Below are 26,729 nucleotides of genomic sequence, written 5' to 3' on the forward strand. Positions count from 1 at the left end.
TTTCTATGAGTTTTTGGTAATCCCCAAGAGTTACCAGACATGTGAGAAAAACTTATTGCATGAAAAAGCAAATAAAAAAGCAGATAAAAGCAACTTGAAGGAAGCAGGGGGGAGGAGCTTCAATAAAAAATTTCCTAAATAGCCTCAGAGAGAGAAGAAAAAATAATACATGCACAAAACAACAATAAGTGTTGAAACTCCGAAGACAAGAAAAAAGAGTTCTTGGAAATTAAGAACATGTTAACAAAAATAAAAGATTCAGTACAAGATTTGGAAGATCAAGAGGAGGAAATCTCTCAGAAAGTAGAGGAGAAAAATAAAGTAGTAAAAAATAGCAGAGAAAATGTCGGAAAATTAGAGCCCTAATCCAAGAGGCAGAAGATCCCAATAATAAGAGTTTCAGAAAAAGAGAAAAGAAAATAGAAAGGAAGAAATTCTGCATGCATTCTGGGGAAGGTGTGGAATGAGGAATACACATACAAAGAATCAGGAATCAGAAGAACTTCAGAATTCTCAATAGCAACGTAAGATGGGAGGATATAAATACATTCACAATCCTGAAGAAAAGTCATAACCACCTTTGAATTCCATGCCCAGGGAAATACTTAACTAAATTTAAGAGGAAAGGCAGTTTCAGACCAGTGAGTCTCAAAAATCTTGCATCCCGATCACTCTCTTTCCGGAAACTGTTAACAACAAGAAAGAGGGCACAAGCCCAAAACAAGGAAGACGGGGAACAGAAAACAGGAAATCCACACAGGGAAGTGGTAAAGAAAAATCTTCACCATGAGGATAAAGGGAGATTCCAGGATGACTCCTATCGTATACAAGGCATGGAGAGCAGCCAGTTCAGATTAGAGCAATGTGACTAGACAGCGTTGACTACAACAGAACAAAGGAGCAAATAAAGGTAGAAGGAGAAAAACAGAGAACCTAAAACAAGGAAATAGCTAAGAGAGCATTCCTAGGATGACAGTAAAGGAAATCTCAATATGACAACTGTGCAGAATGACTAGAGGGAAACCAGTGCAGAGAAAGGTTATTATTTTTAGCTCAAGATAAACTTATGAAAATGATATTGTGGAAAAATTATTCTGAGATGCTGTTGGAAGATATGGGGTTTTAACAAAAAGTCAAAGAAAATTAACGAAATTTAAAAAAATAAGGCAATTAATAACTTTAGGAAAAACAAAGAAAAACTATAAAAGCAAAACTCTGAGTGATGTTTGCAATGACATACTGATATAAACAAAATTATGCATATTTGCTATAAAATGCTTGGAAAATCTGTGTGGCAAGATAGGGGTTTATTTCACTTTTACCTCTCTTTGTGTCTCTTCCCTTGGTTTGGAGGTAGCTTTTGGTGATAATCGAGATTTTTCAAGCATAATATATCATCACAGTTAGACTATGAAAAATTATAAATATAATATTATACCAAAATTCCTTATCTTCAATACAAAAATCCAAAATCTTCTGAAAATAAAGGATTTTTGTAACCCACTGGCACATTGGCATTAAGACCTAACTTGAATTAACATAAGGCTATAACATTTTTATTCAAGCTATTTAAGGTGAATAATCCCATGTTTTCCAATAGATATATTAATATGTTTGATTCTGGGTATTTTCCCAGACTCTGCTGGTAATATCAAGTAATATGTATTATTATCTTTAAATAGGAAGATTCCAAAACATATCTGGTACCAATCGTTTAGATGAAATATCACCGTCTAGCAAGATAAACAGAAAGCTTGGTTTTACTTGACAAAGCTAACCTACCTCACAACACTAAGAAAGAACTTCCCACAACTCTCTTTAGGTAGAGCCAAGACTCTGGAGGAGGTAAAAAGGTAGGAAAAGATTGAGGAGGCAGGAAGGAAAAGGAGGGAAGAAGAGCTAAGAGATTACTCTCTTGTTTTGTGACCAACTTTTTTTAACTTAAAAATAATACATCACAATTTATATTTTAATTTTAAAAATTTATATAGCAATATAATACCATATGAATGTCACATATATAAGGCTATATATGTTAATATAACATATGGTATATGGTAATAATTTTATGGCAATAAATGTTCTTCTACAATATGATTCATTTAATTTCCAGTTGTTGGACATTTTGTACCTGTGTTCATGATACTATTTTTCCCTCTTTCCTCCAGCACCTTGGAACACTGAGTAGGAGTAATGATTCCTTGTATATTTTATTTTATTTTGAGACAGAGTCTCACTCTGTTGCCTAGGCTGGAGTGCAGTGGCACAATTTCAGCTCACTGCAACCTCTATCTCCCAGGATCAAGCAATTCTCCTGTCTCAGCCTTCCAAGTAGCTGGGATTGCAGGCGCCTGCCACCATGCCTGGCTAATTTTTGTATTTTTAGTAGAGACAGGTTTCACCATGTTGGACAGGGGTCACAAACTCCTGATCTCAGATGATCTGCCCGCCTTGACCTCCCAAAGTGCTGGGATTACAGGCCACTGCACTGGACCTGATTCCTCTCATATTTTATGTATTTTTTCCTTTTGTAGCTCTTTCTCTTAGACCTACAAAGGCAATCAAGGCTCTCTCGTTTGTTGAGAAACACACACACACACATACACACATACACACACATTTCTCCTGACCATGAGTCTCTGTTAAACCATTGTCTTGCTTCTCTTCTTCTTGTCTCAGATAAGATTTCTTGGGGAAAAAAGTGCATTCACTTCCCTTTGACTTTTCAACCCAATATAATCTGCCCATCATCCTATCATTATGAGCTCAGAAAATTCTGCCAAAATTATACTCAAAAATGCTAATAATGGTCAACGTATTGTGTTAATACACCTCATGATTTCTTTCCTCCAAGAGTCTCTACTTCCTTGGCATCTACCAGATGTTCTCTTTTTAAATTTTCCTTTATTTCTTAATTGTATTTGCAGGTTTCTTGTCCTCTGTCCTTTCCTGCCCCAAATACCGAAGCTCCCAAAGGTTCTACTTTGTCAATAGTTCTTTACTGTCAGTACAGTCTCCTTTGTCGTATCATTCACTGTTGTTTGCTTAATTGCCCCTTGTATCTTGCTGATTTTTGAAACAATATTTCTAATTCTAGTATCTCCCTTAAGCATCAGACCAAAGTATTCAACAGACAACTGGCTGGGTCCAGCTGAATGTCTCATAACTACTTCAAAACCAGCACATCTATAACTGAACTCAGCCTCTACCCACTGTCAGTGAGTCTGCTCCTCTCTTGCCTCCTGATCTGTCAGATGCATCTCACCCACCCAGCCATTCTTGCCAGAAATCTGCCACATTCTGGACTCTCCATTCCGTTTTCCTGTTCCACATCAAATTGGCCACTGAGTTCCATTTTCTAAATATGTCTAGACTCCATGCCCTGCTTTTATTCCAACAAACACAGTCTTGGTCCAGACCCTTAATAAGACTATTTTAATAATCTAGTCTTTTGGGTCTTTGCTCCATCATCTACAGAGTAGTAAAAATGATATATTCAAAGGTAGATCTGACCACATCATTCCTTCACTGGACCACTTCCACCAGCTGACCATCACCCACAGAATAAAGGCTGAATCTTAAGTGTGCTAGGTAAGATCCTGCAGGACAGGATGTTGCTTCCAGGCTTATTTCCCACCAAACCCAGCTTCGCAAGCCATGCCTCAGTTGCCTTAGTAGCACTGACCTGTTGCTGTTCCCTGCAGACCCTGCTCCTGCCTGCATCCACACCCTTGTTCATGCTCTTCACACCACAAAGAATCCCCTCCTACTCTTTTTCACCTGGATAATAGCATCAGCTCCAGAAACTTCCCTGCATTCCCAAATTAATCTAAGTAGAGCTCTTTAGTACTCCTCCAGCAAAATGTGCATTCTACGGACAATCACATGCCAACCTATGCTGAAATTATCTGTTCAAATGTCTTTCTCCATTACTAAAGACTGAATTCTTCAAGAGGAGGATCTATGCTTATTTATCTTCATATCATTAACACTAAATAAATACCTGGCATATAGTAGGCCTTCATTTGCTAAAACGAAAAAGTATTGTTAGGGTAGTTATCATAGAGCAAACAAAATACTGTGCAGTTGGCATAATTTCAGCACTCAAGGGGTTCTCAGTCTCAAATAAGTAAGTGAATACTATGACATAATATGTCTTTGATAAAGCTAAGCATAGGGTGTCCTGGGAGCACATAAAGGATGTACTTAACTCATCTGGAGAGGTAGGAGTAGCTCTGTGGGAAATATCCAGGAACCCCTCTTGGTGACGATAACACCAGAAAAGTGCTATGAAAGATTAGTAGGTGGGGCTCGCCACGGATAAAGGACCAAACAATCTGTGCAAACACCTTGAGGTTCTGCATATGCTAGCAAATAGGAGATGGGAAAATATTTCAATATTGCAGAAGCCCAGGATATTTGTAAGTAGAAGTGAGATTAGAGGATAGAGAATAGGAAGGGACCACACATCTAGACTTTGTGTGTCTTTCATGTTAAGAAATTTGATTTGTCAATTAGAAGTCAGTGAAGAATTTTAAGCCAGACAGTATTATAATCAAAAACAGCTTTTTGTGATTTCTGTAACTACAATATGGAGAACTGACTGGATGGAGCTGAGATTGTCAGACTGTCAATAGGAAGCCCTGTTAAGTGAGATAAGATGGGGGCCAGACCAAGGAAGAGAAGAGAAGAATGAGAGGACCATGGAGGCCACTTGCGAGCAATGAGAGATTGGATCTTTGCAGCAATAAACCATTCCATTGAACTATCTTGGTGGTCAACCCCATTCATATCCAGGATATACTTAGTGTCAAACTCTTTATAAAGCAAGATAGGCATTTGTGAACATATAAGGAAAATGGCTTAATTTGTTCAGGCAGGAAATAAAATGGGTTTTCAATGAACTCCTGTTATAATGATCTGTAATTTGAATATTTATTTTTAATACTGCTACTGCAAGTAAATGTCCTGCCTTTTCCCAATCAGCTTAAAATTGAACTGACATCTAAGGTTTCAAGGTTTAGCAAATAGGCAGGGCACGGTGGCTCATGCCTATAATCTCAACACTTTGGGAGGCTGAGGTGGGCGGATCACCTGAGCTCGGGGAGTTTGAGACCACCCTGGCCAATATGGTGAAACTCTGTCTCTACTAAAATACAACAACAACAAAAAAATTAGCCAGGCATGGTGGCACTCGCCTGTAGTCCCAGCTACTTGGGAGGCTGAGGCGTGAGAATTGCTTGGCCGAGGAGGCAGAGCTTGCAGTGAGCTGATGCACCACTGCACTCCAGCTTGGGCTACAGAGTGAGACTCTGTCTCAAAAAAAAAAAAAAAAGATTTAGCAAATAAATTTAGCCTGTATTTGTAGGCTTCCCAGCTAAAGTTGAATTTCAAATAAACAACAAAATTTTTAGCATACATAAATCCCCAAAAGTGTGATATGCTTATACTAAAAAATCATTCATTATTTATCTAAACTGTATATTTAACTGAGTGTCTTTATTTTATCCAGTAACTCTTCTGACATCAAAATATTACCTGTAGATAATAGCGCCCTTCCACAGTGTGCAGTCCGTCAAATGCCCCTAGAGCGTACACTTCATTTGGTATGTTCTCAGACATTTTGTAGCTTAAATGACAGCAGAGATCTTTCTGACAAACTGTATAATTTCCTGCAACTCCTGTGAGCTTCACAAAAGTGAATTCATCGAAAAAGACAGTGCCTTTAAATTCCTTGTTTCCTGATGAGAGCGCTTCTATACTGCTGGCATAGGAAGTCCAGTTCACCACTGCAGAATGGGATGGGTGGGAATCCAGTTGCGAGAGGAGGAGTTTTCCCTCTTCTGTCTTCATATCATAATGAAATGCTCTTGAAGAATTGGGTGCATAGATGCCACTTCCTGGAAGTAATAAGTTGAAAACATCATTTGAAATTGGAAAGTAAAAAGGGATTTCATAATTGTTATTACTATTTTAACCTCATATTCACATTTTACTCTCTCTAAGTTATATGTTTTATTAATTTCAGTAAAACATGCTGATAAAGACAGAGAAGTGAGAGGAAATCAATTAAAGTATGAAACCAAGAAGCCAAGAAGGGAGAGTTGTATGTAAGAAGTCATATATTTTGAAAAAAAAATCAAGTTAAATAAAACCAAATAAATCTACAAAACAATTTAGACTGAGATTGATTCTATAGCATATTAACAGCTAGATGTTCAAAAATTAAGAGCTGGAAAACATTGTATTAAGGAGTATGCGTTAGCTAGAAAAACATGTTTTTTTTTTCTTTTCTTTTCTGATTACATCAGCCTGCATATCTTTAAGATCACACATTACCTGTCATTTTCTTTGAGGGGTAATGTATGTTGGATGCAAGGAAATTGACCCTCATGCCCATAGCCCAAGCTGAGTGGAATTCAACAGCTGACAAATGTGGCAAAACATTCATCCAAGCTGTTGGGAATACTATGGTGTCCACGTGGAAATCTTTCACCAAGGTAACAGCAGGATCATGGAAGAGTATATCAAAGCATGTGAAAATGCCAAAACTTCCAAAGGTGGTATTGAAAGTCACAATCTCAGGCTCCTTGGGTACATTGAATTGATTTTCACCCATGAAAAGGTTTTGCTGCAATAAACAGAAGATAAAGAGAAAAAAATTATTTTAGGAAGTTGATCTGGACATCACAGTGTGGGAAAAAGTACAAGCTCACATCTTAGTGCCAATTTCATCTATGATCAGTGTTTTCATGGGAAATGAGTTTGCTTTAGAGAATCAGAGGCCATTCTAGCTAAACTGGGCCTTTAGTTCAGTCTCCACATTACAAATATGTACATGGGTATCTTTATCTATAAAGACCCACTGGAATCTTATAAGACATAAAATAGATTACTTCTGTTTGCCAAGTAGACTTAACTGTTTTCCTTGGCAAGGAACTTTGTTTGTTCCATTCTCCTCAAGACAGAGTCTATGTGGTAAGCAGTTTTTCATTCTAGCCTTGACCCATTGCCAGGGTATGCCTTTAAAAGGACAAAGTCCAAAAGGCAACATTAGGCAACATAATGCATGCGGCACTTTCTGACTGCTACACACTCCTGAAAACACACTCCTGTGTTCTTATATGTACACGGAACCCCTTAAGCCTCTTTATAGGAGCTTTCCACGCTTTATCATTACTTTCTATGCTTTGCCCCTACTCGATTTCTAAAGTGTGCTTATCATTATCAATAACATATTTTTCTCCTTGCCCACTTTATTTCATTAGGCATTAACTAATTGGATTATTTGCAAATTAATTTTACCTTATGGTAGCGTGCCACCAGTTTTCCTTGAGAATCAAATACCACATCAGTGTTGTATTGGTAACGGCCATCAGGGGGACACTGAGGATCACTGGTATCGCATGGCTTCTTGTCCCCAATATTTGCCACAACATAGATAGAGTTGTTCTTGGCCAGGCAGCTGAGTCTTTCTTGTACTGGGGTCTGGCCAAATCTGATACATGTTTATTGGAGGAAAAAAATCTTTGTAAATCAATCTTAACTCTCAACAAAATCCTGAATGATAGTTGCCTAAACCTATTATTTGATATATGCAAAAGTAAATTCTAAATAACAATAATTAGAAGAGAAGTATTAAGACAAGAAAGGAGTTCAGAGGAAGCCCATGCTTGAGTAAAATTGGTTGTAGGAACCTACTGTAGGATAAGATTCCAGACCACGTATTTTTTCTTCATAGCATTTATCGTAATCTATAGTCATATTTTCACTTACGTGTTTGTCTTATAATGTCTGCAGCATCCTGTGGATATCATAGATCAATGACTTACATATCCCGTTTACTAAAATTTTGTCTAACAGAAGAGAGGCATTAAAAAATATCTTGGGGTGGGTGTGGTTGCTCATGCCTGTAATTCCAGCACTTTGGGAGTCCAAGGAGGAAGGATTGCTTGAGCCCAGGAGTTTGAGACCAGCCTGGGCAACAAAGCAAGACTGTCTCTCTACAAAAAATGAAAAAAAAAAAAAATAGCCAGGCATAGTGGTGTGTGCCTGTAGTCTCAGATATTTGGGAGACTGAGGTGGGATGATTGCTTGAACTTGGGATTTTGAGGCTACAGTGAGTTCCACTGCATTCCAACCTGGGCAACAGAGCAAAACCCTGTCTCAAAAAACAAATTTTGGGGGGCCAGGTGTGGTAGCTCATGCCTGTAATCCCAACATTTTGGGAGGCCGAGGTGGGTGGATCAGCTGAGGTCAGGAGTTCGAGACCAGCCAGACCAACATGAAGAAACCCCGTCTCTACTAAAAATACAAAATTAGCTGGGCCTGGTGGCGTGCGCCTATAATCCCAGCTACTCAAGAGGCTGAGGTGGGAGAATTGCTTGATCTTGGGAGGCAGAGGTTGTGGTGAGCTGAGATCATGCCATTGCACTCCATCCTAGGCAACAAGAGTGAGACTCCATCTCAAAAAAAAATTTTTTTGAATGAGTTAACAAAAATTTAGAGGTAGAGGGATGCTGGGAAGATAGCAGAGCAGGGAATTTTTCTCCCCACCTAGATAACAATTGCACTGTTGGAATCTGTCTAATATTACTATTTTGGAGCTCTAGTGCTTGCAACTTCCAGAAGAATGCTTGGAAGGTAACTTACAGTTAATTTCAGTCCATTTTAGCTCTTAGCTCAATAGTGGTTACCAATTCCTCATCCCCTGTCCCTGTGACAGGCTGCCATGTCTGTGTTCCTAAAGCAGCTTGCAGGCAGCTTATGGGAGCAGGGTGGACAATAATGACCTTGTCTTTCAAATATACGAGATCTGCATTCTGATCACTAATTGTTGCTTCTGATCATGGAGGTACAAATGCAAAGGCAAGCAGCTATTGTTGTGTATACATACAGACACACCATTTTTGCAGGCCCTCTTTCTGGCTGAAGTGGCTTCCAGGAGATTTAAAGAACCAGTGTCTTATTTATTTATTTATTTTCTCTTTTTCTCCTTTGGATAGTGAGACATTTAAGGAATAAGCAATTAAATATACAGGGAAATTTAGAAAGTCGCCATACATGCCCAGGGAAAGGTACAGACTCATAAAAGGTCTAAGAAGACCTTAAATTTACATCTCAAGCTGATCCTCAACACAAACATCCTACAACAACAAAACAAACAAACAAACAAACATAGCAAACCCAGAGAATCTGATTCCCAGAGTAACCATGTGATAAGATTCAAATGTCTAGTTATCAACCAAAAAAATCACAAATCATACAAAGAAACAGGAAAGTATGACTCACTCAAAAGAAAGGAAAAATAAACCAACGAAAATCATCCCTGAAAAGGACCACATGACAGACCTACTAAACACAGACTTTAAAACAATGGTTTTACAGAAGCTTAAGAAAATAAAGGAAGATGTGGAGAAAATCAAAAAACAAAACAAAGTAGAAATATCAATAAAAAGATAGAAAACCTAAAAAGAATCTGGAGCTGAAAATTACAATAACTGAAATGAATATTTTATAGGAGGATTCGAAGACCAATTCAGGCATGTAGAAAAAAGAAACAGTGAACTGGAAGACAGGACCATTGAAATTATTGAGTCTGCAGAACAACAACAAAAAATATTAAAGAAAATTGAACAGAGCCTTAGGAACACCATTGAGTGTCCAACACATGCACTGTGGGAGTCTCAGAAGGAGAAGAGAGATTATTTGAAGAAATAATGGCTGAAAACTTCCCAAACTTGAAGAAAGATATGAATATAAAGATCCAAGAAGCTCAACAAACTCCAAGAGAATGAATTCAAAGAGACTCACACTAAGACACACTATAATCAAATTGTAGAGAGCCAAAGACAAAATGAGAATCTTGAAAGCAGCAAGACAGAAGTGACTCATACATACAAGGGATCCCCAATAAGATTATCGGCAGATTTCTCATCAATAACTTTGGAGACCACAAAGCATTGAGCTGATATATTTAAAGTACTGAAAGAAAAAAAAATCTGACAACCAAGAATTCTATATCCATCAGAACTGCCCTTCAAAAGGGAGGGAGAAATGAAGACATTCTCAGATTTGAGAAGAAAGGAAAGAGAGAAGGGAGGGGAGGGGAGAGGAGGGGAGGGGAGGAGAGGAGAGGAGAGGGCACAGTGGCTCACGCCTGTAATCCTAGCACTTTGCAAGACTGAGGCCAGTGGAACACCTGAGGTCAGGAGATCGAGACCATCCTGGCTAACACGGTGAAACCCCGTCTCCACTAAAAATACAAAAAATTAGCCAGGCGTGGTGGCAGGTGCCTGTAGTTCCAGCTACTCAGGAGGCTGAGGCAGCAGAATGGCGTGAACTCGGGAGGTGGAGCTTGCAGTGAGCTGAGATTGCGCCCCTGCACTCCAGCCTGGGTGACAGAGTGAGACTCTGTCTCAAAAAAATAAAAAGTTTAAAAATATTTTAAAAAAAGAAAGAAAGAAGGGAGGCAGGGAGGAAGGAAGGAAGGAAGGATGGATATTGAGCTTTGCACAAGAGGCTAAGATTTGTTCCAAATTTAGTAATAAATAGGTACTATTAAAGCCTTTGAAGACAGAAGCAACCTGGTCAAAATTTTCTTCATAAAGATAAATAGAACACGGAGTGTAGAATGTACTGGAACAGTGAGAGACTAAATGCAGGGGATTCATTAGGAAGCTGTTGCCATTGTTCAAATAAGAGGTAACAAGGATTGGCTAGGGCAGTACCAGCTAGTATGAAACAATGGAAATCCTGGAGCATTTGTTAATGCCTGATTTTTTTATTCTTTTACAAAGTTACCAATAATTGTCCCAGTAAAGCAATTAAAATACAATTTTGAAAATAATATTTAACATATTGCTATATTTATCCTCTATTGCACAACTCTGAAATGATAAATGGTTATTGAAGAATAGCTGAGAAGGCTGAGATAACTGTTGTATGAATAAAAATTTGGTGACATCAAATATTGGCTACTAGATCTACAAACAAATTTGTATAATGAATATAAGGAAAGCCATAGCAATCATCTATAAAACATATCCTTGAAAAAGATTGGAAAAGGATATAATAATACATATAGAAAATTATTATTTCAATGTGTTTGTAAGAAAGAACAACCGTTCAATAGTTTAACCCACCTTTGCTTCAATTGATATCTGAAATGCATAGATATAAATTACAACACATTGAACCACTTGAAACATGTTTACCCCCAGTCTTTTTGGATCACCTTAAGTGGTGGAATAAGTAGGTTGGTGTTTTGGATTTCTGAAACAGTTCTGATGACAAACATATTTTCCTACTGACTCTATTAGTCTTCATGTATTCTAATATATTTCAATTCAAGCTACATTTCTCAGGCTGTTTGGCGTATACATAAAATGCTCCAAAATTAGACCACATGTCCTAATTTAGGGTTTAAAAATTCAGTTTGCTTATGGTGCCTGAAATCTGCCTGTTGCTTCATCCATGATATTTGCTGAGTCCTTAATCCATGCAGAGTTTTGCCCTGGGCACAGAAGGAGGAGGTGAAAGAGAATAATTGAAATGCATTTTCTAAGGCTGCTTTCAAAGTGTTCAATCTTTAGGTATAACAAAAATCATCAATTATCGGAAAGATATTTACTAATCTAAAATCAGCACATGTTAAATATTCAACAAATATGCATTAGGTTTTGACACAACACAAAGCACTATATTGGACATGTGGGCAACTGGGGGAAGAATATTCCAGGCAGAGCTGTCCAAGCATACAATGTGAGAGACATAGAAATGTCAGATGTGGTTGCTATGCTTATAAAGCATTAGGCTTACTGAAGAAACAATGTGTGCACACAAAACTCTGAAATAACAGTATGAAATAATATGCAATCAAATATCAAAATGCCTTTTCAGCCCTTCAGCTCCAAGCTGACCCTGATGAGAGCAATATGATCTTGGTGGCTCTGCAGAGACATCCACCCAGGAAGGCTTCCCCTCCCTGGGCCTCTCTGTTTGCTTTGTTTCCTAGGCCTCTGAGATTGGATTTCGTGGGGTGAGGTGAGTGCAGGCCCAAGAAGGGTGGTTACCACTGAGGCTCAATCACTATCAAGATGATAGAGGTACTGAAACCTGACTGTCAGAAACTGCTACACCAGCTGAATGCCTTGTTGGAACTGAAGTCTAGATGTCAGTTAAAGATCTGTGGTTTGAGACTAATTGAGTTTGCACATGATAGACAATAGCCTCAGAATGACTGCAAGGCTACAGGACTTTGAAGTACAAGATGTTAGTCTAATTCAGTTCTTTGGCTTTAACACAAAGGCATTTTCTCTGTGAATTTACTGGACAGATTCCTGTGTTAAATGAAGGTGCAGCCCAAGCACCTTGGATGTGTTGAACTGAGCTTCTTCTATTCGGCTGTAAAATCAATAGAAGAGGAAAGGGATGTCCCATTGGCAACTGATGTGTTCCAAATAGGTGAATATAGGTTCACGGTTTCAGACTTGATGAGAATGGAAAAGATTGCATTGGAGAAGTTGTAATGTAAAGTGAAAGCTACTACTGCCTTTCAATTTCTACAACTCCACTATTCACTCATTCAAGGGAACTTGCCATTTGAAAGGAGAAGTGGCCTCAATTTTGACTGGAAGCCCAATTTAAGGCATGTCAAGATCAAATGCTCTAAACTTTGGAGTCTAAATCAAAGCCTTCTATGTTGATATTGTCTATAATCATATTGGAGATCCAAAAACAGAAGTGTATACAGTTAATAAAATGAGTAGAATGTCTTCAGAAACATTCCAAGATAAATGGTAGAGATGTGACCTTCTGGAAAGAGTTTGTATCCAAGTGTTTAACTGAATACTCATCAAACAAATGTTCCAAATCAAACATTCAGAAGTTGAAATGGATTGTTTCTGGGCATACTGCATTGCAACTAAAGCATAGTTACTGAAGAAAAATTCACCATCCAACAATTCCTGAAATGGTTCCCTAATTGGTAAATTTGGTTCATTGTTATTCTCCATATACAGAAAATTTTCCAATGCTATAATTTTCTTTTGCAATTAAAATATTAATTATCTTCAAAATAAACAAAATGAAGTTGGAATCACGAAGGGGAAAATGACTTCACTGATCTTTCAGTTAATATTTGAAGGCATTTACTACACAGAAAATATAACACCTCAATAGTAAGGAATTATCCAACCTCTGATATGTAAGTTAGCCATTTCATGATCTTTTCAGCTTTGAAAACAGCATCTTTCTTAATAGCATGAATTTTGAAAGTAGCACTAAAATTGTGTTTTTATTACACATCTTGCTGTGTGTAGACCCATGCTCAGGCTCATTTTAAGTTACACAAGCCTGAGTAAGACAATAGGGACAAAAAGTTTAAACCATATGTGAACAAATTTGAAACTATTCATATGTAAGCAAAATCAATATGAATTTGAATATTGTACCTAAAGAAAAAGTAAGATATGGCAGATGGTCTCCACATTGGGTTTCTGAAAACTGTCAGGGTGTTTTGACACTGTAGTTACATATCATTGCTACAGCAGTTAGATGACTGTAAAGTAGTTATATGCTTGGTCACTGCATATATGATATATACTTGTCATCTAAATTTTATTTAAAAAAAAATTTTCAGAGGCATTGTCTGCCCAAACCCTCTAGAGCTCTGCCCCTCAGATGCTGTAAGGTGAAAGAGAGGGCCCTGACAAGGATGGGACAATGGCAGCAGGCTGGCCACATGCACAGCCACCACTACCCCTGGCCTGTGGCCACTCCTGGGACAGAAACTGCTGGGCCACCCACTGACACCCATCTTGGCTATCCCCACTGCTTCCCAAACCCTGTTCTAGTCTGGGGCTGAGCCTGAGTGGCATGGGAAGAAGTCAAGACCCCAAGCAGAACACCAGAGGCTGGAAACCAAGAAGGGCACCCTGGGGATGAAACTCTGGGGAGGGTGGAGATGGGAAGGATGAAATGGACATGCTCCCTCACACATCTCCATTTAAATTTCTTAACTCACAGTAATGATTTATCTTTTTCTACTCGAAACTAAATGTTGACATTCATATGATTATGAATGTTAGATATAAACACTTCACATTTAACAGTAATATTTAAGCAGACTTCAAATACGTTTGGGTTTTTTTCTGTTTGTTTCTTTAAATAAGGTTATAGTAGCAAAAAAAACTTCTCTGAAGCCTTTCTCCATAGCCCTGCTCTATAGATTCCATAATGGTATAATGGATTTAAGCTATGAAGCCTCAAAACATCACAACTACATTAAGGCAATGTTCTCAAATTTAGGGAAACTGCCTAATTACTATTATGCTATGGTGGAATTATGTGTTGATTTAAGTTCATCTGTGAAACATTCAAATCAAAGCTAAAACTATAAATATGAAATGCTAACGACAAGTCTGGAAAGGTACACTGTGACTCTTTATTTCTAACATTGATCTAACTTTCTATATTGGATCAATATATTGTATTTAGGTGGTATTAAAAATTATAACCCATTTAATTTAAATGTTAAATTTTAAACTATGAGGTCTACATCAAAACCAACATTTGACTAATGAACTCTTTAGGCATAATAAAGGTTAATATTCTAGGCAGTATAAATAGTTTCTTGGCACCCTCAAGGCAAGTAATATATAATTCAGACATGTGCACTTTATTATACAGAAGGAATATACCTCAACATAATAAAGGCTATAGATGGCGTATATGTCAGCACCTACAGCTAACATCCTATGGAATGGGGAAAAGCTGAAAGCCTTTGTTCTAAGAACTGTAACAAGACAAGGAAGCCCACCTTCACCACTTCTATTCAACATCATACTGGAAGTCCTAGCCAGAGCAATCAGGCAAGAGGAAGAAATAAAAGATGAGGAGGAAGCAGAGGAAGATGGCCAAATAGAACCTTCCAGCAATTGTCTTCCTGCAGGATCACCAAACTGAACAACCATCCACAACAAGAATGAACCTTCATAAGAACCAAAAATCAGAAGAGTAATCACAGTACCTTGTTTTAAAATCATATCAAGGAAAGAGGCACTGAAGGAGGTAAGAAAGAAAGTCTTTAATTGCCAATACCACTCTCCCCCATCCTCCAGGTTACCACATGGTGTGGAGAGAAAATTTGTGCCCTTGGGGGAAGGAAAGTACAGTGATTGTGGGACTTTACATTGGAAGTCAGTGTTGCCATGTAACAGCAGAAAGCAACATGGCACAGAATTCAGCCAGTGCCCACAGAGGGCACATTTAGAACAGCTCTTGTCAGAGAGGAATTGTCCTACCCAGCAGTCAGAACCTGAGTTCTACCAAGGATCACCAATGTGGGATAAAGTTCTCTGGGGTTCTAAATAAACTTGAAAGGCAGTCTAGGCCAGGGGTTCCCAATCCCTATGCCATGGACTGTGGCCTGTTAGGAATTGGGCTGCACGGCAGTACCAGTCCATGGCCTGTTAGAAACTGGCTGCACAGTAGGAGATGAGTGACATTACTGCCTGAGCTCTGCCTCCTGTCAGATCAGTTGCAGCATTAGATTCTCATAGGAATGGAAGCCTGTTGTGAACTGTGCATCTGAGGAATCTAGGTTGCATGTTCCTTATGAGAATTTAACTAATGCCTGATGATCTAAGGTGGAACAGTTTTATCCAGAAAGCATACTCCACCCTGTCCATTAAAAAATTGTCTTCCACAAAACCAGTCCCTGGTGCCAAAAACGTTGGGGACAGCTGATTTAGGCCACAAGGACTACAATTCCTAGGCAAGTCCTAGTGCTGTACTGAGCTCAGAACCAGTAGCCTTGGAGCGCACATAACCTAGTGAGACACCAGCTGGAGTAGTCAAAGGAGTGGTTGCATCAACCCTCCTCCAACTCCAGGCAGCACAGCTCACAGCTTTGAGAGACTCCGTCCCTCTGCCTTAAGAAAGGAGACAGGAGCATAAAGAGGACTTTGTCTTGCAACTTGGATAACAGCTCAACCACAGTAAAATAAAGCACCAAGTAGAGTACTGAATCCCCCAACCCAGGCCCTAGCTCCCTGATGATATTTCTAGACATACACTAGGCTATAAGGGAACTTCTTGCCTTAAATGGAAGGACCCAGTCCTGGCAAGAATCATCACCTGCTAACTAAAGAGCCCTTGGGCTTTGAATAAACATCAGTGATAGCCAGGCAGTACTCACCACGAGGCTTGGGTGGGACCCAGTACCATGCTGGTTTCAGGTGTGACCCAGCACATTCCCAGCTGTTGTAGCCATGGGGAGGCATGGGGAGGAAAGGAGAGGGAAGAGTAAAAGGACTTTGTCTTACAAATTGGGTACCAACTTAGCCACAGTAACATGAAGCACCAAGCAGACTCCTAAAGTCCTCAATTCCAGGACTTAGCTCCTGGATGGCATTTCTAGACCCACCCTGAGCCAGAAAAGAACCCACTGCCTTCTCTTATAAGAAATGCTAAAGAAATTTCTTCAATCTGAAAGAAAAAGACATCAATAACCAATAAGAAAGCATCTTAAGGTACAAAACTCACTAGTAAGTACACAGACAAACATGGAGTGTTATAACTCTGTAATTGTGGTGTAAACTTCTCATATCTTGAGTAGAAAAACTAAAAGATGAACCAATCAAAAATAATAATTATAAAAGCTTTTTAAGACATAGACAGTATAAGATATAAATAGAAAGTATTAAAAATTAAAAGTATGGGGGATGAAGTTAAAGTATGAAGCTTTTATTAGCTTTCTCTTTGCTTGTTAGTTTATACAATCAATGTTAAGTTGTCATCACTTTAAAATAATGAACTATAAGTTGTTATTTACAAGCTGCATAACATCAAATCAAAAAACCTACAACAGATACACAAAAAATGAAAAGCAAAAATTAAAACATACCATCAGAGAAAAACACCTTCACAAAAAGGAAGACAGGAAGAAAGGAAGACAACACCACAAAACAACCAGAAAACAAAAAAACAAAATGGCAGGAGTATGTCCTTACTTAACAATAAAACATTGAATGTAAATGGTCTAAACTCTCCAATCAAAAGACATAGAGTGGCTAAATGGATAAAAAAGAAAAAAAATCAATGGCAATGGTCGATTGTGTACAAGAAACACACTTCACTTATAAAGACACACACAGACAGAAAATAAAGGGATAGCAAAGATTTCCATGCAAATGGAAAACAAAAGGAGCAGGGGTAGCTATATTTTTATCAGACAGAATAGATTTCAGGACAAAAACCATAAAAGGAGACAAAGAAATTAATTATATAATGATAAAGAGGTCAATTCTGTCAGAGGATATAACAATTGAGCACACAAGTGTGCTAACACTTGAGCACACAGATATATAAAGGACATATTACTAGAGCTAAAGAGAGAGATAGATCCCAATGCAATAATAGCTGGAGATTTCAACATCCTACTTTCAGCATTGGACAGATCATCCAGAAGGAAAAAAAAAATAAAGAAACATTGGACTTAATCTGCATTACAGACCAAGTGGGCTTAATAGATAGTTACAGAAAATTTCATCCAATGGCTACAGAATAAACATTCTTCTCCCCAGCACATGGATCATTCTCAAGGAGAGACCATATGTTAGGTCACAAAACAAATCTTAAAACATTAAAAAAAATTGAGATCATATCAAGTATCTTCTCTGACCACAGTGGAATAGTACTAGAAATCAATAGCAAAGGGAATTTTGAAAACTATACAAACATACAGAATTTAAACAATGTGCTCCTGAATTACCAGCAGGTTAATGAAGAAATTAAGAAGAAATTTAAAATTTTTATTGAAACAAATGAAAATGGATATGCAACATATCAAAACTTATGGGATACAGCAAAATCGTTCTAAGAGGAAAGTTTATAGCTATAAGTGCCTACACTAACAAAGAAGAAAACCTTCAAGTAAACAGCCTAATGATATATTTTTTTAAACTAGAAAAGGAAGAGCAAACCAAACCTGAAATTAGTAGAAGAAAAATAATAAACATCTGAACAGAAATAAATGAAATTGAAATAAAAAACATCCAAAAAAAACTAAAAAGTTTCTTTTTGAAAAGATAAAATTGACTTTTAGTGAGACTAAGAAAAAAAGATAGAAGAAAAATAAACTCAGAGATGAAAAATGAGACATTATAACCAATACTGCAGAAATTCAAAAGATCATTAGAGATTACTATGAGCAACTACATGCCGATAAATTGGAAAACCTAAAAGACATGAATAAATTCCTAGACACATACAGCCTACCAAGATTGAACCACAAAGAAATCCAAAACCTGAATAGACAGATAACAAATAATAAGATTGAAGCTGTAATAAAAGATCTCCCAGCAAAAAAAAGCCCAGGACTTAAAGGCTTCAGTGCTGAATTTTACCAAACAATTAAAGAACTAATACAAATCCTATTCAAACTATTCCAAAAAATAGAGAAAGGAATGCTTCCAAACTCATTCAATGAGGCTAGTATTATACTATACCAAAACCAGGCAAAGACACATAAAAAAGAAAACTACAGCCCAACATCCCTGATGAACATTGATGCAAAAAAACCTCAACAAAATACTAGCAAACCAAATGCAACGACACATTAAAAAATTATTCATCATGACCAAGTCGGATTTATCCCAAGGGTGCAAGGATGGTTCAACATGCACAAATCAATTGATGTGGCACATCATATCAACAGAATGAAGAACAAAAACCAAATGGTCATTTCAATTGACACTGAAAAAATATTTGGTAAAATTCAACATTCCTTCATAATAAAAACCCTCAATGACTGGATATAGAAGGAACATACCTCAACACAATAATAGCCATTTATGACAGACCCATGGCTGGTATCATACTGAATGAGGGAAAACTGAAAGCTTTTCTCTAAGATCTAGAAAAGACAAGAATGTCCATTTTCACCACTATTATTCAACATAGTAGTGGAGGTTCTCACTAAAGTAATCAGACAAGAGAAAGAAATAAAATGCATCCAAATTGGAAAGGAGGAAAATTATTTTTGTTTGCAGATGTTATTATCTTATACTTGGAAAACCCTAAAGACTCCACCAAAAAACTAATAGAACTGACAAACAAATTCAGTAAAGTTGCAGGATACAAAATCAACATAAAAAATCAGTAGCATTTCTGTGCCAACAGCAAGCAATCTGAAAAAGAAATCAAGAAAGGAATAGCATTTGTTATAGCTATAAATAAAATACAATACCTAGGAATTAATTTATCCAAAGAAGAGAAAGCTCTCTACAATGAAGTCTGTAAAACATTGATGTAAGAAATTGAAGAGGACACAAAACATGGAAAGATATTCCATGTTCATAGATTGGAAGAATCAATATTGTTAAAATGCCCATACTATCCAAAGCATTCTACAGATTCAATGCAATCTCCATCAAAATACCAATGTCATTCTTCACAGACATAGAAAAAAAAATTCTGAAATTTACGTGGAAACACAGAAGATCCAGAAGCCCTCCTAAGCAAAAAGAAAAAAAACTGGAGAAATCACATTACCTGACTTTAAATTATACTACAGAGCTCTAGTAACCAAAACTGCATGGTACTGGCATAAAAACAGACACATAGACCAATGAAACAGAAGAGAGAACCCAGAAATAAACCCAAATATCTACAGTGAACTCGTCTTCAACAAAGATGCCAAGAGCATATATTGGGGAAAGGACAGTTTTTTCAATAAATGGTGCTGGGAAAACCAGATACCCATATGCGGAAGAATGAAAGTAGACCCCTATCTCTCACCATATACAAAAATCAAATAAAAATGAATTATATACTTAAATATTTGACCTCAAACTATGAAACTACTAAAAGAAAACTTTGGGGAAACTCTCCAGGACATTGGTCTGGACAAAGATTTCTTGAGTAATACCCCACAGGCACAGGCAACCAAAGCAAAAATGGACAAATGGAATCACATGAAGGTAAAAAGCTTCTGCACAGCAGGGGAAACTATCAAGAAAGTGAAGAGACAACCCACAGATTGGGATAAAATATGTGCAAACTATCCATCTTATAAGGGATTCATAACCGGAATATGTAAGAAGTCCAAACAACTCTATAGGAAAAAAAATCTAATAATCCAATCCAAAAATGGGCAAAAGATTTGAACAGACATTTCTCAAAAGAAGTTATACAAATGGCAAACAGGCATGTGAAAAGTTGCTCAACATCACTGATCATCAGAAAACTGCAAATCAACCGGGCATGGTGATTCACACCTGTAATCCCAGCATTTCTGGAGGCTGAGGCAAGAGGATCACCTGAGGTCAGGAGTTTGAGATCAGCCTGGACAACATGGTGGAACCCCGTCTCTACCAAAAATACAAAAATAGCTGGGTGTAGTGGCAGGCACCTGTAATCCCAGCTACTCGTGAGGCTGAGGCAGGAGAATTGCTTGAACCCAGGAGGCAGAGGTTGCAGTGAGCCAAGATGGCACCATTGCACTTCAGCCTGGGCAACAAGAGGGAGGCTCTGTCTCAAAAAAAAAAAAAAGCAAATCAAAAGTACAATTATATCATCTCACACCTGTTAAAATGACTTATAACAAATGCTGGTGAGGATGTGGAGAAAAGGGAACCCTCATACACTGTTAGTGGGAATGCAAATTAGTACAGTCACTGTAGAGAACAGTTTGAAGGTTTCTCAAAAAACTAAAAATAGAGCCACCATACGATCCAGCAATCCCACTGCTGGGTATATACTCCTCAAAAAGAAAATCAGTATATAGAAAAGATATCTGCACTTTCATGTTTATTGCAACTCTGTTCACAATAGCCAAAATTTGGAAACAACCGTGTGGTACATGTACACAATAAAGTACTATTCAGCTACAAAAAGAATGAGATCCAGTCATTTGCAACAATATGAATGGAACTGGAGATCATTAGGTTATGTGAAATAACGTAAGTTAGGCACAGAAAGGCAAACATCACATGTTCTCACTTATTTGTGGGATCTGAAAATCAAAACAATTGAACTCATGGAGATAGAGATAGAGAATAGAAAGATGGTTACCAGAGGCTGGGAAGGGTAGTTAGGGGAGGAGTGGGGAGAAAGTGAGGAGATTAATGGGTACAAAAAAATAGTTAGAATGAATGAATAAGGTCTAGTATTCAATAGCACAACAGGGTGACTATAATCAATAATAACTTAATTGTACATTTTTAAATACCTAAAAGAGCATAATTGAATGGTTTGTAATACAAAGGATAAATGCTTGAGGGGATGGAAACCCCATTCTTCATGATGTGATTGTTACCATTGCATGCTTGTGTACAAACATCAAAACATCTCATGTACCCTATAAATATATACATCTACTATGTACCCATGAAAGTTAAAAATAAAATAATTAACAAAAACAGTTGAATAAGTAAATTCATCTTTAAGTTAGGTTATTAGACATAGTTTGTCTCTGAAGAAATATGCAAGCTTTCTTCTATGATGCAATCAAAGTGTCTGAACAAAATTGTACTTCTCTTAGCTGCTCAGAAACTCTTAGAACTATACTTAACATCCAGTTGTAATGAGCAGCTCTTTACCATGATGCCTCATAACAACTGCTTCCTCTATTCATATGGGTTCTAGTTTGTTGTTAGAACTAAAGTATCCTATTTTTAATTATATTAGATATAATTAGAAACTTCAAATCCTTCTGGAACGATATGACATATAAATGCTAAATAAATTAAATAAAAAAGAAAAGTGATGAGAGCCTGTTCCTTTAACGCTCAGTCTAAGAGGTGATGTAGGTCCCAAAAGTTTGGTGAATATGAGAAGAGAAAGCAATCAACTATGTGCATACTTCAAACATACTCAATAAGATGAGATCTGATTCTATGAGAGCAGGGAAGGATATTGAGTCCTCCTTTTCTCTCACATCCTACATCCAGTCTTTCAACAAAACCTGCCAGTGCTACTTTCAAACTTTATTCGGAATCTGTCCACTTCTCAATACCTAAACTTCTACCATTTCTTGGTCTCAGACCCATCATCTCTATGCCATAATGATCACAACAGCTTTTGAACTGCCCTCTGCTTCTTTGGTGACCTATACCCTGGAGTCTATTCTCAACATTGCGCTCCTCCTGCCCTTCTGCCTCCATTTCCTACTTTTCTCCTCTTCTGTCACATCACTGTAACCACACTAACCCTTTTTCTGTTCCATAGGTTAGACACATACTCTGACCACAGGATCTTGGAATTTAGAATTCCTTCAGCCTGGAATGCACTTTTTTCAGATACTCACATGATCTATTGCCTCATTTCTTTCAGGTCTTTGCTGAAATCTCACTGTGATGCCCTCAGACGACCTTTTAAAATTTCAGCCCCACGCTTGCCACCCTATTCACCTTCCCCACTTTATTTTTTCCATAACATTTACTTCCACCTCATATCATAGATAGGTAGACAGATGAAAGATACCTATATAAAGATAGGTAGATAGATAATAGATAGATGATAGATAGATGATAGATAGATAGATAATTATCTTTTTAAAACATTTATTACCTCCCCACACTAGAATATAAATTTCAAGGGGACAGGAATTTTTAATCTGTTTTGTTCACTTCATTGCCCAGAACAATGTTTAGACATAATAGGTACTCAAAAAAAATTTGCAGAGTTAATAAATTAAGGCAGCTGGGCGTGATGACTCATACCTGTAATCCCAGCACTTTGGGAGGCCGAGCAGGTGGATCACTTGAGGCCAGGAGTTCAAGACCAGCCTGGCCAACATGGTGAAACCCATCTCTACTGAAAATACAAAAAACTAGCTGGGTGTTGTGGCTCACACTTGTCATCTTCGGGAGGCTGAGGCACAAGAATTGCTTGGACCTGGGGGATAGAGGTTGCAGTGAGCTGAGATCACGCCACTGCACTCCAGCTTGGGCGACACAGAGTCTCTCTCTCAAAAAAAAAAAAAAGAGAGAGAGAGACAGAGAGAATTAAGGCAAGACATTCAGACATCATTAGTTGATGGAAAACATAAATGGGCAACCGTGTTCCTTGAAATGAAGTGAATGGGACATCCTTGTGGGGATGTTCAGGAGGCCCTTGGAGATGAGGTTCTAGGGAAAGGCCATTCAGAAATAAGTCAATTCAATTCATAGTGGAAGTGATAATAGAGTGCTTGCCTTTTAGAAACTGAAGCACTGACATATGACATGATTAAATAAGAAATAATTATGGTACAATTAAATAAGAATAGAGTAAATGATTATGATAAATAACACTGGAATTTATCAAAATCCACCTTGTCAAAATCAAGGTGTCTCTGTAAGTAGTTTTTGTGGGTTTGTTTGTTTGTTTGTTTTTGAGACAGAGTCTAGCTCTGTTACCCAGGCTGGAGTGCAGTGTCACTCTCTTGGCTCACTGCAACCTCTGCCTCCCAGGTTCAAGCAGTTCTCCCTGCCTCAGCCTTCCAAGTAGCTGGGATTATAGGTGCCCACCACCACGCCCCACTAATTTTTGTATTTTTAGTAGAGATGGGGTTTTGCCAAATTGGCCAGGCTGGTCTCAAACTCCTGACCTCAGGTGATCCTCCTGCCTCGGCCTCCCAAAGTGTTGGAATTACAGGCATGAGTCACCACACCCAGCCAGTTTCTGTGGGATTTTTAATTTTAGTATTATTATTATTATACTTTAAGTTCTGAGATACATGTGCAGAACATGCAGGCTTGTTACATAGGTATACACGTGCCATGGTGGTTTGCTGCACCCACCAACCCATCATCTACATTAGGTATTTCTCCTAATGCCATCCCTCCCTTAGCCCCCGACTCCCCGACAGGCCCCGGTGTGTGATGTTCCCCTCCTTGTGTCCATGTATTCTCGTTGTTCAACTCCCACTTATGAGCGAGAACATGCAGTGTTTTGTTTTCTGTTCCTGTGTTAGTTTGCTGAGAATGATGGTTTCCAGCTTTATCCATGTCCCTGCAAAGGACATGAACTTATCCTTTTTTACAGCTGTGTAGTGTTCTGTGGTATATATGTGCCACATTTTCTTTATCCAGTCTACCATTGATGGGTATTTGGGTTGGTTCCAAGTCTTTGCTATTGTGAACAGTGCTGCAATAAACATATGCATGCATGTGTCTTTATAGTAAAATGATTTATGATCCTTTGGTATATACCCAGTAATGGGATTGGTGGGTCAAATGGTATTTCTGGTTCTAGATCCTTGAGGAATCACCACACTGTCTTCCACAATGGTTGAACTAATTTATACTCCCACCAACAGTGTAAAAGAGTTCCCCTTTCTCCACATCCTCTCCAGCATCTGTTGTTTCCTGACTTTTTAATGATCACCATTCTAACTGGCGTTGTGCGGTTTTGAGAATAGTTCCAAAAGAGGAATTCCTAAAATAATTTTAGCCATGTGTATTCAGAAAGAAGTATGTGAATCGACATGATTTTCTTAGGTGTATAAGATATTGGTTTCCTTACATTAAAATTAATAGTGCTGCTTTCACCACACTTAATATCTCTGTAGCCGAGACCTGACTTAAACCACTTAAAATCCTGCCATATCACCTCTTAGATTACAATCAGCTTACACTTTAAGGACTTTACTACATTAACCTCATCAGCTATCTTAGCAATGAGAAAGGAAAACTATTAATCTTAAACTGATGTGACTCTCTTTTGCCATTTACTCATATAGTTTTCAAATCACAGACCTACACAGGGAAATATTTTTCTGTTCACTGGTGAGGAGTCAGAGACCAGAGATGTTCACACTGAATGTGATGATTTCTAAGCTACTTTCTAGCTCTGACTTCTGTGACTTCATAATTCATATTTGCTCTCCCAGTAAATATACCCATAGTAGATGAAAAATAAGCTATACTGAAACTTAAGAATTGATCATGGATCTATGCAATGATCATCAACAAAGTTTTCCCAGGTAAATCAAGTTGATGTTTACTAGTGAATTTTTCACAAGTTGTTTCTTTACCTGTTACGATTATTACAGGGGATCCAGTTTACTTCAGGGTCTGGGATGTCCTCCAAATATGGGTAGAGAGAGTCCCTGTTGAAGTTCCAGCCATAAATAGCATCTTCTGGAGTCACAATAATATGCGCACCCTGTTAAAAATGCAACTTAATCCAAAGGGGGGCCTGCAAGAGGAGCTGAGGAGCTGAGTGGCTGAGTAACAACTATTTGGGCTTCCCCCACACCCCTTAAATCTTATTTTGTTTTCTATATTTTTATAATTTATTTTCTTTTCCAAAGCATTTTAATTTCCTTTTTTTTCAGTGCACTGTCACTTCTTTTTCTTTTTCTTTTCTTTTCTTTATTTCTAATTTTAGATTCAAAGGGTACAAATGCAGGTTTGTTGCATGGATATGTTACATAATGGTGAGGTTTGGGCTTCTAGTCAAGCATTTTTTTTTCTCTCTTTTTTTTTTTTTTCAGATGGAGTTTCGCTCTGCTGCCCAGGCTGGAGTGCAATGGCTAGATCTCGGCTTACCACAATCTCCACCTCCCGGGTTCAAGCGATTCTCCCGCCTCAGCCTCATAAGTAGCTAGGATCACAGGCATCTGCCACCACGCCTGGCTAATTTTTGTATTTTTAGTAGAGATGGGGTTTCTCCATATTGGTCAGGATGGTCTTGAACTCCCAACCTCAGGTGATCCGCCTGCTTCAGCCTCCCAAAGTGTTGGAATTACAGACATGAGCCACCGCACCTGGCTTAGTCAAGCATTTTAATTTTCTAATCCTGCCATTGTTGTTTCCTATGGCAGTCGTTAACTATAAACCTAGCTTATCCTGGAACCAAGCCTCTCCTTGAACTTTCGCTGATGACTGTGCCTGTGTCAAGACTGATTAATAACTTAAATATTCTGTTTATTTCCTCCTCTGCCCTAGCTTTCCCCTGCAAACATGATTCCTGCTTCTCAGAAAAAGAGGAGCCACAAACTGGTTACTTGAACTGTCCCATGCCTACAAGTACTGCCTGAGCTAACCTGGGCACCTTCCAATTAGAGAGTCACCTTAAAAAGCTCTGTGACCTTCAAGGAAATAGTTGGACTAAGGATGAAAAAGAACATCAGAACTCCTGATAACCTTTTAAATATTAGTATATATAAGAATATAGGGCAGTCACGGTAGCTCATGCCTGTAATCCCAGCACTTTGGGAGCCCAAGGCAGGTGGATCACCTGAGGTCAGGAGTTCAAGTACAGCGTGGGCAACATGGCAAAATCCCATCTCTACAAAAAATACAAAACTTAGCTGGGCACGGTGGCATGCATCTGTGGTCCCAGCTACTCTGGAGACTGTAGTGGGAGAATCACCTGAGCCCGGGAAGTCAAGGCTGCAGTGAGACGTGATCACACCACTATACTCCATCCTGGGTGACAGAGTGAGACCTTAACTCAACAACACAAAAGAATATATATTTATAGATATATGTAATACACATTTATCCATGACTTTTATCACACTTCATGTATTCCTGGTCTACACCTAATCGATCAATAGCTTTTAAAATAATATTTGTGTAAACCACAATTTATACTGTATGATTAACTTCAAACTGAAACCTTCACTAAACTTAAGGACTCACAATGCATTACATATACTTTTATCTTGTAATTAGAATGAAGTGTGAAGTATATAATGCATGCTGGCAAGGAATTGAAAACTTAAATTTGTT

General features: G+C 38.0%; 1 protein-coding gene and 1 pseudogene across 1 annotated transcript in view, besides 1 other annotated feature; one reads left to right on the forward strand and one right to left on the reverse strand.

Annotated features, from left to right (window-relative positions):
- VNN1 (vanin 1) overlaps window positions 1-26,729 on the reverse strand; it is a 33,207-nt gene that overhangs the window by 5,836 nt on the left and 642 nt on the right. Inside the window, exons 2-5 of the mRNA NM_004666.3 lie at window positions 25,025-25,155; window positions 7,306-7,498; window positions 6,340-6,631; window positions 5,539-5,900 (exon numbers count right to left, since the gene is read on the reverse strand). Coding sequence (NP_004657.2) covers window positions 5,539-5,900; window positions 6,340-6,631; window positions 7,306-7,498; window positions 25,025-25,155 — 978 coding nt within the window. The remainder of the gene's footprint in view (window positions 1-5,538; window positions 5,901-6,339; window positions 6,632-7,305; window positions 7,499-25,024; window positions 25,156-26,729) is intronic.
- On the forward strand, window positions 11,911-12,989 carry CCNG1P1 (cyclin G1 pseudogene 1; annotated as a pseudogene).
- Window positions 13,163-13,332: an enhancer, noted in NCBI's record as "experimental_89876 CRE fragment used in MPRA reporter constructs". NCBI's record gives its function as "activates a minimal promoter by MPRAs in K562 erythroleukemia cells, with activity observed for both the introgressed and non-introgressed 6:133021071 variant alleles {active_cell/tissue: K562}" and the evidence as "EXISTENCE:reporter gene assay evidence [ECO:0000049][PMID:34662402]".

Source organism: Homo sapiens, chromosome 6, assembly GCF_000001405.40.
Source record: "Homo sapiens chromosome 6, GRCh38.p14 Primary Assembly".
Lineage (NCBI taxonomy): Eukaryota > Metazoa > Chordata > Mammalia > Primates > Hominidae > Homo > Homo sapiens.